Source organism: Homo sapiens, chromosome 2, assembly GCF_000001405.40.
Source record: "Homo sapiens chromosome 2, GRCh38.p14 Primary Assembly".
Classification (NCBI taxonomy): domain Eukaryota; kingdom Metazoa; phylum Chordata; class Mammalia; order Primates; family Hominidae; genus Homo; species Homo sapiens.
Window position 1 is genome coordinate 75,509,727 of NC_000002.12, and position 12,983 is coordinate 75,522,709.

General features: G+C 38.6%; 1 protein-coding gene across 4 annotated transcripts in view, besides 1 other annotated feature; it reads right to left on the minus strand.

The window, feature by feature from the left end:
• Positions 1-12,983, minus strand: part of EVA1A (eva-1 homolog A, regulator of programmed cell death) — a 77,402-nt gene that overhangs the window by 17,409 nt on the left and 47,010 nt on the right. For all 4 annotated transcript variants that reach the window (NM_032181.3, NM_001369524.1, NM_001135032.2 and 1 more), the window contains 2 exons: positions 12,639-12,761; positions 8,330-8,482 (listed from right to left, as the gene is read on the minus strand). In NM_032181.3, coding sequence (NP_115557.1) covers positions 8,330-8,414 — 85 coding nt within the window. In that variant the 5' untranslated portion in view covers positions 8,415-8,482; positions 12,639-12,761. The remainder of the gene's footprint in view (positions 1-8,329; positions 8,483-12,638; positions 12,762-12,983) is intronic.
• Positions 6,836-6,925: a silencer, noted in NCBI's record as "silent region_11681". NCBI's record gives its function as "represses an Ori minimal core promoter by ATAC-STARR-seq in GM12878 lymphoblastoid cells {active_cell/tissue: GM12878}" and the evidence as "EXISTENCE:reporter gene assay evidence [ECO:0000049][PMID:35858748]".

The window sequence follows — 12,983 nt, forward strand, 5'->3', positions numbered from 1 at the left end:
ACCTATTTTACAAAAATCTGGATCTTAAATAATACTTTGAGGTAATCTCTATGCATATTAATGATTGTTAAGGGGGGTAATTCAATTCTTAAAAGAGGGGAAGTTTACGTATACTGATTTGTCAAAAAGGTACAATTAAGATTGTACCTTTCAATGTGTATGCATTTTATCTAAAAAATAATCAAAAACCTAATGAAGTGGGGGGTGGGAAATGGTTTGAAATATAGATTAAACAAAAACAGCATATGACTAGTAGATGTTAAAGCTGGGTGACAGGTCTATTATACTTTTTGGTATTTTGTATATGTTTTTAATGTTCTGTAATAAAACACTTCTATGAAATGACAGAGTTGATCTATACTTAGTTCTTAAGATCTTGGTTTCCTTTGGAAGGAGAAGGAGAATGTGATTATCAGGGGCATGAGCAAGTGTGATTCTATTTCTTGGTTACACAAGTGTATTTATTTTGTAATAATTCATCAAGCTTTCCATAAATGTTTTGTGCATATGTTTCTGTATGCATGTTATACATCAATAAAAAGTTAAATATTAAAAAATTTACAAATTATATATATTAATACATGGTTACTTATATTCATTCTATAAACATTTACTGCAAGTCTCCAATGCCTTGGGCATAGCTTAAAGGCTAAGGACACAAAGGCCCTTGGCCCTCACAGGATTCACAGTATAAAGGGTAATGAGAAAACCCAGAACTACAATACCTTCTCAAATGCCCAAATTCGTGACTATCATCAATTAAGTTGTGGGGGGTGAGGCTCCCTCACTGTTGAGAGACTGCCTCCCTCATACCAATGTCATGGGAAACATGATTCGAATTCTGGTTAAATACTAAACAGCATAACTGTACTTGCAGTTACACATTCAATGAATATTGGTTAAACAGGGAAAAATAATCACCCAAAACTCCTGCTCTGAAAAATATTACTATAAGCAAAGTCAAAAGACAAGTGATAAATTAAGAAAAATATCTGTAATATGTAACAGACACAAAGGACTAATATAGGAAAAGTGCCTAGAAAGAGTATTAAGAAAAAGATCAATAAAAAATGAACAAGACATATGGACAGTTCACAGAAAAAGAAATACAAATGGCTCTTCAACATATGAAAAATGGGGACTGGCACACTATGGCTCACAAGCCAAGTCTGCCCAGCCATATGTTTTTGTAAATAAAATTTTATGGAACACAATTTTGCCCATTCATTTGTGCATTGTCTATGTCTGCTCTCGTGCTACAATGCAAAGTTGAGTTGTTACAGCAGAGACTGGCTCACAAACCTGAAAATATTTACTGTCTCACCCTTTAAAGAAAAAGCTTCCTGACCTCTGATCTAGAGAAGCAGAAATTAAATAGCACTTAGATATCGTTCTTCATCTATCAGATTGTCAAAGTTCAAAAGTTTGAAAACACTGCTGCAGGGGCTTCTCATATATCTTTTAGGAGTAAATTGGTAAAATTATTTAAAAGATAAGTTATTAATATTTTTCTCAGTTGATAATTTACACATACTTTGTTCCCACAGTTCTTCTTTGGGGCACTTACTCTACAACAGCACTTGAACATACATGTCATAGTTATTTATTGCAGCTCTGTTTGTTGCTCAGTTTGGAAAGATTTAAACCATTTTCACTGGACATAAGTAAAGAACCGGTTAAACTATGGATGTCTATCTATATAATGGAATAATACATAGTTGTCTAAAAGAATGAGAAAGGTCTCCACATGCTGATCTAAAATATCTCCATAATATATTATTCAGTGAAAAACGTGAAGGGCAAAACAGTATGCATGGTGTGCTACCTGTGCATGAAATGGAGGAGGAGAAAACTATACCCTTGTATTTTCTTAATATCTGCATAAAGAACTCTGGAAGGATGCATAAGAGCCTGATGATGGGTCAAGTTTGGGAACTGGATGGAGGAAGCAGCTCTTGGGTAAGACTCCTTGCTACATGTCTTTTTATAATTATTTGGTTATTGAGCCATATTCATTCACTGATTAACTGAGCATCTGATGGGTGCCAGGCACTATTCTACATGCGCAGGATATAGCAGTCAACAAAAGAAACAAAAATCTCTCTTCTCCTAGGAGTTCCAGCAGGGGAGATGATACTAAACAAATAAATAAAATATATAGTATGGTGGATGATGGTAAGGTGATAAGGAGGAAAGAATGGGAAAAATAGGAAGAAGGATATGAAATGCTGAATGTGTGTTTTGGGGAGAAGTGGAGAGTGATGAGCAAAATTTAAGGAGAAGGTGATTTATTTGTTTATTTTAAAATTTTATGGGTACATAGAAGCTACACATATTTATGGGGTACCCAAAGGTGACTTTTGAGAAAAAAAAAACTTAAAGGAAATAGAAGAGTGAGCCAGGCAAATATGCTAAATATTCAAATCATTAAATTAAAATGAGTAATCATTCCATTTACTCTTTCTAACAACCTTGTTAGGAGTTATTAATGAGGTCAGTATTATTAATGATATTATCTTCATTATAAACTATCATATTCTGGTCCCAATGAGTTCCTTACAAACAATTAAAAAAGAAATCTTAAGTCCTCCAATCCAAGTGCTAATATACAGGGAAATAAAACATATGTGGGAGAGTGTGGGTGGGTGCCTAAGCCCATTGATTCGAGGTGGGGTAGATTGAGGAGAGATGACCCTAAGAGAGTTCTGCAGACTGGGAGGGAGTCAGCCAGTCCAGGACTAAAAGGGAGAATTCTTGGAAAAGGAAAAGAGTGTGCAAAAGCAATGAGGTAAGAAAAAACCTGGCAAGTGGTTTAGAATAACTGGAGCAGAGGTCTTGGTCAGAGAGGGTAGTGACTAAATAAAAGCATGGAGTAGTAAAGGTCAGACATTAAAAGCTCTGGTAAGCCACAGAAGGACCTTCAGAGTGGGATGCCTCAAACCATCATCAAGTCCTTTCTTCCTTGCCTGCCTCTGCTCTAGGGCATGCTTTCTCAACCTCAGAACTATTGATGTCTTGGCCCCAATAATTCTTTGTTGCAGGAGATTGTCCTGTGCATTGTAGGATGCTTCTCCACCCATTAGATGCCAGTAGCAGCCTGCACTTCTAAGCTGTGACACCCCAAAATACCTCCAGACATTGCCAGAAGTCCCCTTGCAGAGCAAAATCACACCTGATATGAACTACTGATCTAAAGATTGAAAAAGCTAAAATTCTCATTTTTCCAGCCTCCCTTGCAGCTAGAAATGACCATGTGACACAGTCCTGGCCAATGAAATCTGAGAGGAGATCTACTGGAACCTCCTTCCATTTTCTGCCTTTTTTGATCTTGAATCAGCCTGAACAACAGCAGCCATTTGGCAGCCATGAGATGACAAACACAGAAAAAAGGCTTTGAGAATCACAGAGATATTGGCCCCTACATTTTTTATTGTATATATTTAAGGTGTACAACCTGATGTTTTTCTACACATATGCTTTGTTAAATGATTACTCCAGTCAAGTGCATAAACATGTTCATCACCTTCTTTTTATTTTTTGTGTGGTAAAAGCACCTAAAATCTACTGTCTTAGCAAATTTTCAGTATACTATAAAATATTTTTAACTGTCATCCTCATGCTATACATTAGAACTCTAGACTTATTCATCCCAGAAAACTGCAAGTTTGTATCTTTGGACATACTTCTCATATCTTCCTCCTTGCCCGATAACTACTATTCTACTGTCTGTTTCTATGTATTCAACATTTTTTTTAGGTTTTATGTGTAAGTGAGATCATACAGTATTTTTATTTCTGTCTCTGACTGGGTATATACCCATAGGAAGTGAAATCAGTATCTTTAGAGATATCTGCACTCCATACTCATTGTAGCCCTATTCATAATAGTCAAGAAATGCAGACAACCAAAGTGTCCATCAATGGATGAATAGATTTTAAAAACTGTGGTATATTTACAAAATGAAATATTATTCGGCCTTAACAAAGAAGGAGATACTGCCACTTGTGACAACATGGATAAAGCTGGAATATATTACACTGAGTAAAATAAGCCAGACAGAGAAAGAAAAAGACAGGCCTCTACATGTTTGTGCTAATGAGCCAATGTTAGCAACCACCTACCTCCAGACTTCTTACTATGTGGGTAAGATAACGTCTATGTGTTTAGGCCACCAAGTTGAGGTTTTCATTTTTTGCAGTTGAAAACAATCCTGACTCTTAAACCACACAAAATTGTTTGGATTTTATCCCAGAGATAATGAGAATCCACTAAGGGATGCTAAAAAATAAAAAGAATTGCATCATCACATCCGAATTTTGGAAACATCATTTTGCTACAAAATATAGACTGTGAAACAAGATCATGGAGGCAAGACCACAGCAAATACCATTATGATAAGGCAGGCGAAAACATGATGGGGCTTGGAGCCAGTCAATCAATGATGGTGGGACTAAAGTGGACGCCATACATTTTAAGAGGCAAAATGAATCGACCCAAACCAGTTGGATATGGGCAGTGAAGAAGATGCATCAAAGGTTAAAAATCCTATTTCTGGATTAGGTGATGCCCTAGATGGGTATATAAAAGAAAGAGCATATTTAAAGAGAAGGACAATATTCTATTCTAGGCTGGAGTGAATTTGAAATGCTTATAGCACAACCAAATAGTTATTTTCAGGACACTTAGATAAGAAGCTCAGGAAGTTAGGAAAGACAGAGGTGTGATAATTGTCTACTATATGTATGGTATAATTCAAAATATAATATTTTAATAAAATAACATTTCTTATGAAGTAATATCAATGAATTGTTATTAAAAATACAGTTAAGCAAAAGAAAATTAAAAATACATATACCTTCACCTACAAAAATGTGGTTACCTATACATATGAATATACATATATAAATGGGATTATAATATATATGGTGTGTGGCAACAGGCTTTATTTACCTAGTAGCATGTCATAAACATCTATTTCAATTAATACAAATTTTCCCTAATATTTTACTACATGTATTATAAATAATTCTGAGATCAATCATCCTCACAGTAAAATTTCTGCCTATATCCCTAATTCTTTCCTTAGGAGACATTTCCAGAAGTGGGATTTCTGGCTAGCGTATGTGTTTTTAAGGGCTTTGATGGATATTGTCAAATTATTTTTTAGAGAGGTTGTAGCAATTCACAATTCCATCAGCACGATGTGTAAGTACTCATCTCCCCAGACTTTCTCCAAGACCAAAATTACATACTTAATCAGTCAAGTCTTTGAGAAATGTATAAAATAAAAATGTTAATCGCATTGCAGTTTCCATTTTGCATTTTTCTGCCAGAATTTGAGCTGTTTATGTTTTATTGATAATTTGTATTTCTTCTTTTGCAAACTGTTGATTCTTGTTTTTTGTCCACTTTCCTTTTGGGACACTTTTATTGATTTATAAAAGCTCTTTATTTGTTATAAACTTTAACTCTTCTTCATTAATGTTTCATTTTCCCCTAGTTTGACACTTGTCATTTACTTGTAGGGCCCATTGTGGTAAGCAGATATTTACAATTATTGGAATGGTCAAGGTTTGAAATGTTTGTTGTGAAGAATGGGCACAAGATGTGTCCAGAAGTAAACAGGGAGATTAAGGTATGATGTGAAAAGCTCAGCTGAGATTGGAGACTATGAATTTCTAGTGGCTTCAAATGGCAAATTATACTGGTGTTTGATAACTTGTACAGAGTGAGAAAGGGTCACTTTTCTTAAGTCATCTAATATGAACCCTGGCTAGATTAGAACTGGAAAGTAAAACCAGTCCTTGCCCAAAGAGAAATCCAATCAGAACCTTAGTCCCCTTCTTTTTACATAAAATCCAGAGACCATCAGGCAAAACAAAAACAAAATATCAAATATTTTAAAACTCAACCAGCAGAGGAGCAGTTTGGTCATTCAAACCATTGAGCATTTTCATGTAATTTTAAATGCCTCCTTTTATATAAACCGTATCTGTTTCCAATAAATGATCTTGAGAAGAAAGTCAGCCGTCTTCCTAAAGAGTACAACTTTGAAGTAAAAAAAGGGCGAATATAGACTCTCCCAACTCACGTGCCTTCTTCTGTCTCCATCTCTCCCACAAGGTTACCAAGCACCTTAGACACCCCCCTAACAAAGAACACACACACACACACAAGAAAGTGAGCAGGATTTACTCAGAGTTGGGGTTTCACCTACTGGTTTACTCAGAAGCTACACAAAAGAATAAGGCAGTTATGTGTATTAGCAAATGTGTTGCTGAAATAAGGGACCACGTGGATAGGAGAGGAGGCAACAGATGCACTGGGAGAAAATACGAGGGGCCAGGGGCCCTGCGGGGTTGAAGATCTGATAGAGCAGAATGAGGACATGAGACAGCTACAAGATTAGGACATTTTCCACAATTTTCTTCCATCATACTTTTCATCATTGCTTCCAATCCATTTATTTGATTTTCTTCACTAAAAACAATGGTTATTTGTATCTTGAATATTTAAATACATATTTGAAATTTTCTTTATTAATTTCACTTATAATCAGGGAGTGTTCCCCATTTCAGAATAGATTTTCAGTCACTGAGTCTACACACTGCATCCAAATTTTATTTTAGCCACACTGCTTTTCCATTTCCTTGTGTTTTCTTTTTATCTCAGCCCGTACTTACTTAAAGAAGCATTGTCTTCCTGCATCCCAAGTAGTATTTAATTCATGAGTATGGGGCAGGAAGGAGGAAGTTTGGAGGGGAGAGAAAAACAGGGCCATGTACTTTTCAGCCTTGACAAGATCACAAGACACATGGTAAACACAGGACTATTCAATGAGTTACCACTTTCAGTGGTCACAATTCAGGGTCATGTTGACTGAAATGGAAAATTGCCAGGTACCTCCTGTGCTGATCAGAGATCCGAAGTGCAGTGCTGTTTGCTCTCATGCGAGACATATTTTTGTGACAGCTGATTCACAGGTATCCTTTGGGTCTTTGGAAACTACAGACCCTCTCTGCCAGCCCCACTTCATTTGGGGGATAGCTTCACTACAGAGCTAAGGAAATTATGCTTCAATTGCTTGTGAAAACGATGTCTGAATTTCAAACCTCTCTTCCAGCTCTTGTGTCCTTTCTCTCCAATGTTGCCTTGAAGCAAGAGCAAAGATGAGATTCCTCTAATGGGTGAGTGCCTGGAGAAGGAGGCCCTGGACTTCCTTAACGGGGAAGAGGAGCTGACTGGTGACCTAGGCCTTCACTGATCTAAGAAGGCAGAGCCCTGGACCTGAGGCACAAGCAGACTACATGCTGCAGCTTGCCCAGAACAAGACCCTGAGCAGTCCTTTTTTTTTCTGAAATCAGGTTGCGCGTCATCCAAGATCCTCTTACAAAGAGAAGCCATGAACTTCCTTGGCTCATGGAACCCTCCACTTGGCTCAGAATTGCCACTGTAAATCATAATGTCAGGTTTGCATTTCAACTCTTAGACCACCATGTGTCAACCCTGCCTAGAGAATTAGAAAGTAAAACTAGTCCTCGCCCAAAGGAAATCCAATTGAAACCCTAGTCCCTTCCTTTTTATACAATATATCCAGAGACATCAGGCAAAACAAAACAAAACAAAAACAAAAGAAAAGTATCAAGAAATTAAAAACTCATTCAAGCAACAGAGGAACAGTTTAGTCATTCAAACCAGTGAGCATTTTCATGTATTTTTAAATGACTCCTTTTATATGAACAACATCTGTTTTCAAGAAATGATCTTGAGGAGAAAATCAGCCATCTTACTAAAGAGTGCAACTTTGAACCAACGAAGGGACAAATATCAGACTCTTCCATACTCCGCATGCCTTCTGTCTTCATCTCATCTACAGCTTCGTCAAATACCTCAGAAAGGCCCCAAACACAGAACATATAAACATATACTCTCTCTCCCACACACACAGTCTCACACACAGGCAGCCTGTGTGAGGTTAACTGCATAGAATAACCAGGCTGAGGTACTCCATCAGCCCCCTCCTTGGTCAGAGTTAATGCATAGTGACAGAAGCCAACAGTAGCCCTGGGCCACTTCAATCACTCACTTGAGCAGCTAAACATTTTCTGCAAGACAAAGCTCTTAGAACCCTTCATTTTTCAAATTAGAGAATGACAAGCTTAACTCCCAACCTGGAGACCTTTCATCTCAAAGCTCAGCAAAGCAGAGCAGTAGCTTTGATTACGTAGTGTGTCTTTACTGAGAATAAGGCCAGAGATGGCCACCCAGGAGACAACCTTGGACCCAGCCCCAGACCTCAGTCCTGGCCCAGTGGAAACCAGGCACCTACCTGAGACAAAGGAATAGGCCGCTAGGATGTTGCTGAGCAAAGCCATCTCCACGTGCTCTGGGCTGTGGCTGAGGGGCAGCCTCATGGGACATCCAGAGGGGACCTCCTGGAGGTGCTTGGCTGAATCAACGTGGCCACTCTCCTTCTTCTCTTCTGTTTGGGAACATAAAGTGAGTGATAAGAAACATTCTGCTGTCCTGAGGCCATGTTCCAGGTAGCCTGGACTCCTAAAGACATATTTTTGCAACAGCTGATTTGCAGGTGTCCTTTGGGGCTTTGGAAACTACAGACCCTCTCTGGCCAGCCCCACTTTTTTGGGGGTATAGCTTCACTATAGAGCTAAGGAAATTATCCTTCAATTGCTTGTGAAAACTATGCTTGCAAAAACTAGCCAGGCTCCTAAAGAAAGACCAGCGAGCTCTCCCAGCCAGTGGGGCCACAAAGATTTGGGGTCTTGTGCTCTTTGTTCAAGCGAGCTTCCTGGCTTTCAAGGAAGTAGAAACTCCTTACATCCCTGATTTTCCTGACCTTTCTCCTTTCTCTGCCCTGTATCTTCCTAATTCCCAGTAAACAATTCCCCCTTACCACTTCTGGAACTCTTTATTTGATTCTCCCTGGTTCACCTTTGAGGCACAGCCCATCGGGTTCAAATCATCGTCACATTCATCACTGCGTTTTAACTACAAGCCACAGCCCTCTCCTCTCCTGCTGTGCTTTCCCGGGAGCCTGCACTGATGACACTTGTGTACCTTGATCAGTTTGCCTCATCCCTCAGGTCACTAAATGTGTGCCTTTGGCAGTGGTTCAGAGCTGGCTATCCCAGAACTGCCAAAGCAGTTCTCATTCTAAAATATCTACAGGAATTTGAGAGCTCGAGCTGCTCCCTGCCTCTAGCTCCATGACTCCACCTGTGACTGTGATGGGCCAGTAGAACACACACATGGCCCAGACTGCCCATCCATAGAACCATCCCACCAGGGATCAGAACAGGGACTTGGGATCTCAGTGCTCCAGCCTCTGGCTGGAGGAGCACATCCTCTCCCCAGCTGCTGCAGCACAAGCCTGGCATTAGCATTGCCCAGTTACTCAGCAAAGGCTTTACAGAGAGCTCCTGGGCACGAAGTGGGAGAGAGGTGGCAGAGACCCAATTCGATGCTGCTATGAACTGCTCATGAACAGCTCATTCGATGCTGCTATGAACTCAAGGCAGGCAATTGAGTCACAGAGTGTAGAAGGGTGTCAAGGCTTGGAGAATGAACCTGGGATCTCAGTGGGTCACAGATATGAGTAACATGGGCCACAATTAGAAGGCCTGGAGAGCGGCAGTTCCGTGAGGTAAATAGAATGGGCTATAACAGAACACTCTCTGGCTGGTAGATTTCAGCAGGCTTCAGGAAAGACCAAAACAAGAAAACACCAACCAACTCACAGGCACAAAGAAACAACCATAAAGTCCTTGGAGCGGCCAGAGGCTCTGAGAGTGACAGGAGAAGGAGTGGGAGCTCCAGGGACTTTGAAAAGAGACTGGCTGCTGTTAAGGGACCCTTGAGCCGCTGAGCCAGAACACAGCGCCTCTTTCAACAGTCATTTGTGTTCCTAAAAGGTGGCAACTGGATGATACACGTGAATGGTGAGAGCCATCAAACTGAGTTCAGAGGCTGTTCTACAGATCTGAGGACTTCAAGACCCAGGAAAAGAGTGAAGCTACTGGAATATGTCTGAGTTTGTAGTGAGCCATGTGTATTTCAAAACCATTCCCTCCTTCCTGTCTCCACTAATGTTACCAGATTGCAAGTCTTATCATTTTATTTCTGGGAGTTTTGCAACAATCTCCTACCTGGTCTTTCTGATGATACCTCCTTCCTTCTCAATATAGCACCCATTCTTATTAACAGGGTCATTTTTCTATAGTACAAATATGATCACATCACTCCACAACCCAACTCTAATGAATTTCCATTGACCTCTTAACACAATACACATCCACTTTCACAATATCTGACCTCTGCCTTACCTCCTAATGTATCTCCTATCCAAGCTGACAGTCACACACATATACACACAGATAATAAGAATGCTTAGAGCTTCAACAATACTAGATTACTTTTAGTTCCCCCAAGTAGAGCAAGCTCTTTCACCTCTTCATGCTTTTGGTCACACTCTTCCTGTTGCCTAAATGCCCCCCTTCTCTTCATCTGTCTGGCAAATGTTTCCTATAAGAAAGAATTCAGAAGTTTTATGGCAGTCCCAAAATCTCAATGATGTTTTTGCAGAAATAAAAAAATCCATACTGAAATTCATATGGAATCTCAGGGGACCCCAAACAGTCAAAACAATCTTGAAAATTAACAAAGTTAGACATCTCACTCTTCCTGATTTCAAAACTTATTATAAATCTATAGTAATCAAAACAGTGTAGGCCTAGCATATAAAAACAGACATGTAGCTTAATGGAATAGAATAGAACATCCAAAAATAAACCCTTACATATATATATGTTCAAATTATTTTTGCAAGGGTGCCAAGACCATTCAATGGGAAAAGACTGCCTTTTCAGCAAACGGTGTTGGAAAAACTGGATGTCCACGTGCAAAAGGATGAAGTTGGACCCTTACCTTACACTATATAAAAAATTAACTCAAAATGTGTCAAAGACCTAAATGTAACAGCTAAAAATTTTAGAAGACTGTTAGAAGAAAACAGGGGTAAAGATTCATGACATTGGATTTGACAATGATTTCTTGGATATGACACCAAAAGCACAGGCAACAAAAGTAAAAAAAAAGAAAAGGACTCTATGAAAATTAAAAACTTCTGTGCATCACAGGGCACAACAGAGTAAAAAGGCAACCCACAAAATGGGAGAAAATATTTGCAAATAATATATCTGATAAAGGGTTAATATCCAGACTGCTACCTATCCTAATTCCTAATATCAGAACTCCTACAACTCAACAACTAAAAACAAAGAGCTCAATTTAAAAATGGGCAACAGACTTGAAGCAATATTTCTCCAAAGATATACAAGTAGTCAATAGGCACATGAAAAGATGCTCCACATAACCAAGCATTAATGAAATCAAAATCAAAACCACAATGAAATATCATCTCATACCCGTTAGGATGACTACTATCAAAAATCAGAAAATAAGTATTGGAACCCTTGTGCACTGTTGATGGGAAGGTAAAATTGTGCAGCCACTGTGGAAAATAGGATGACTATTCCTTAAAAAATGTTTAAATAGAATTATTGTATGACCCAGCCATTCCACCTCTGGGTATATACTGAAAGGATTTTAAAGCAGAGACTTGAACAGAATTTGTACACCAATGTTCAGAGCTGCATTATTCACAATAGCCAAAAGGTGGAAGTAACCCAAATGTCCATCCACAGATGGATGAATAAATAAAATGTTGTCTACACATACAATGCAATATTACGCACAGCCTTAAAAAGGAAGGCATAAGCATGGATTAAACTTGAGGACATTAGGCTAAGTGAAATAAGCCAGTCAAAAAGGACAGGTATTATATGATTCCACATGTATGAAGCACCAACAGTGGTCATATTCATAGAGACAGAAAGTAGCGGTTGTCAGGAACAGGAGCAGGGAAAAGATAATTATTGAACAGGGTACAGGGTACAAAGTTTCTGTTTTGCAAGATGAAAAGAGTTCTGGGGAAGGATGATGGTGATGGTTGCACAATAATGTAAATATACTTAATGCCACTGAACTATACACTTAAAAGTAATTTAAGATGACGAATTTTGTTATATGTATTTTACCACAATTTAAAAATTGTGTTGGTGAGGTAAAACAGGGAATTTTGAAGGTTACTTTATTTAAAGAATCTTGCAATCAAATTTTGGTTTTAAGTTAATAAGAATGATGGCAGAGTTATCTTTTAGCGGTATTAAATTTGAAGTCAATAAAATTCTAATTCATATCACATTATGATATGGCTTAATTTTAAGTAAGAGATGTTATTGCATTTATTTTTAAAAATTGGATTGTAAATAAGTGTACTCTACCATATTTATAGATTAACAGGAAAAAGATCGTATGAATAGATGAAAAAATGTATTTGTGTAAAATTTAATAAAAAATTCATGATTTAAGCAAAGGAAAGACCTATTGCAGTGAAGCCCCCTATTAATCTTCCAAATGCCTTTCTTTGGCTATCAAAGTGTCCAAATATTCTTCTAATATTGTGCCTATGATATTGCAATTGGAACTGAGTGTCCCCTGGTATGTCACCCCCATACATAGTGTTCAGGGGGTAATAATCTCATTATCCCTTTAGCTACCTGGGGAGAGGTGGGGTGTCAGGAGCAGAGAAGTTTCTGGTAAGAACAGTTCATCTCTGATGATGTTGGCATCAGCCAGTAGAGGTTCTAAAACTTGTTTGGCCCCAGTTGGCTTCTCAGACTCTGAAAGAAAAAAGAAGCAGCACAAAAACCATCATATACCCAGGAGATCACATCATACCTTAGACCTGGTATGTGTGTGAACCCAGCAGAGAAGCTTTGGTGGCTAGTGTCTGGATCCTTGGAAGGATGAATAGCATCCCCAGAGAGGAGAAAGCCCATTGACAGAGTGTAATCTGGAATTTGAACTAGACAGCCAGATAAACCAGTCTCCCAGGGTCATAC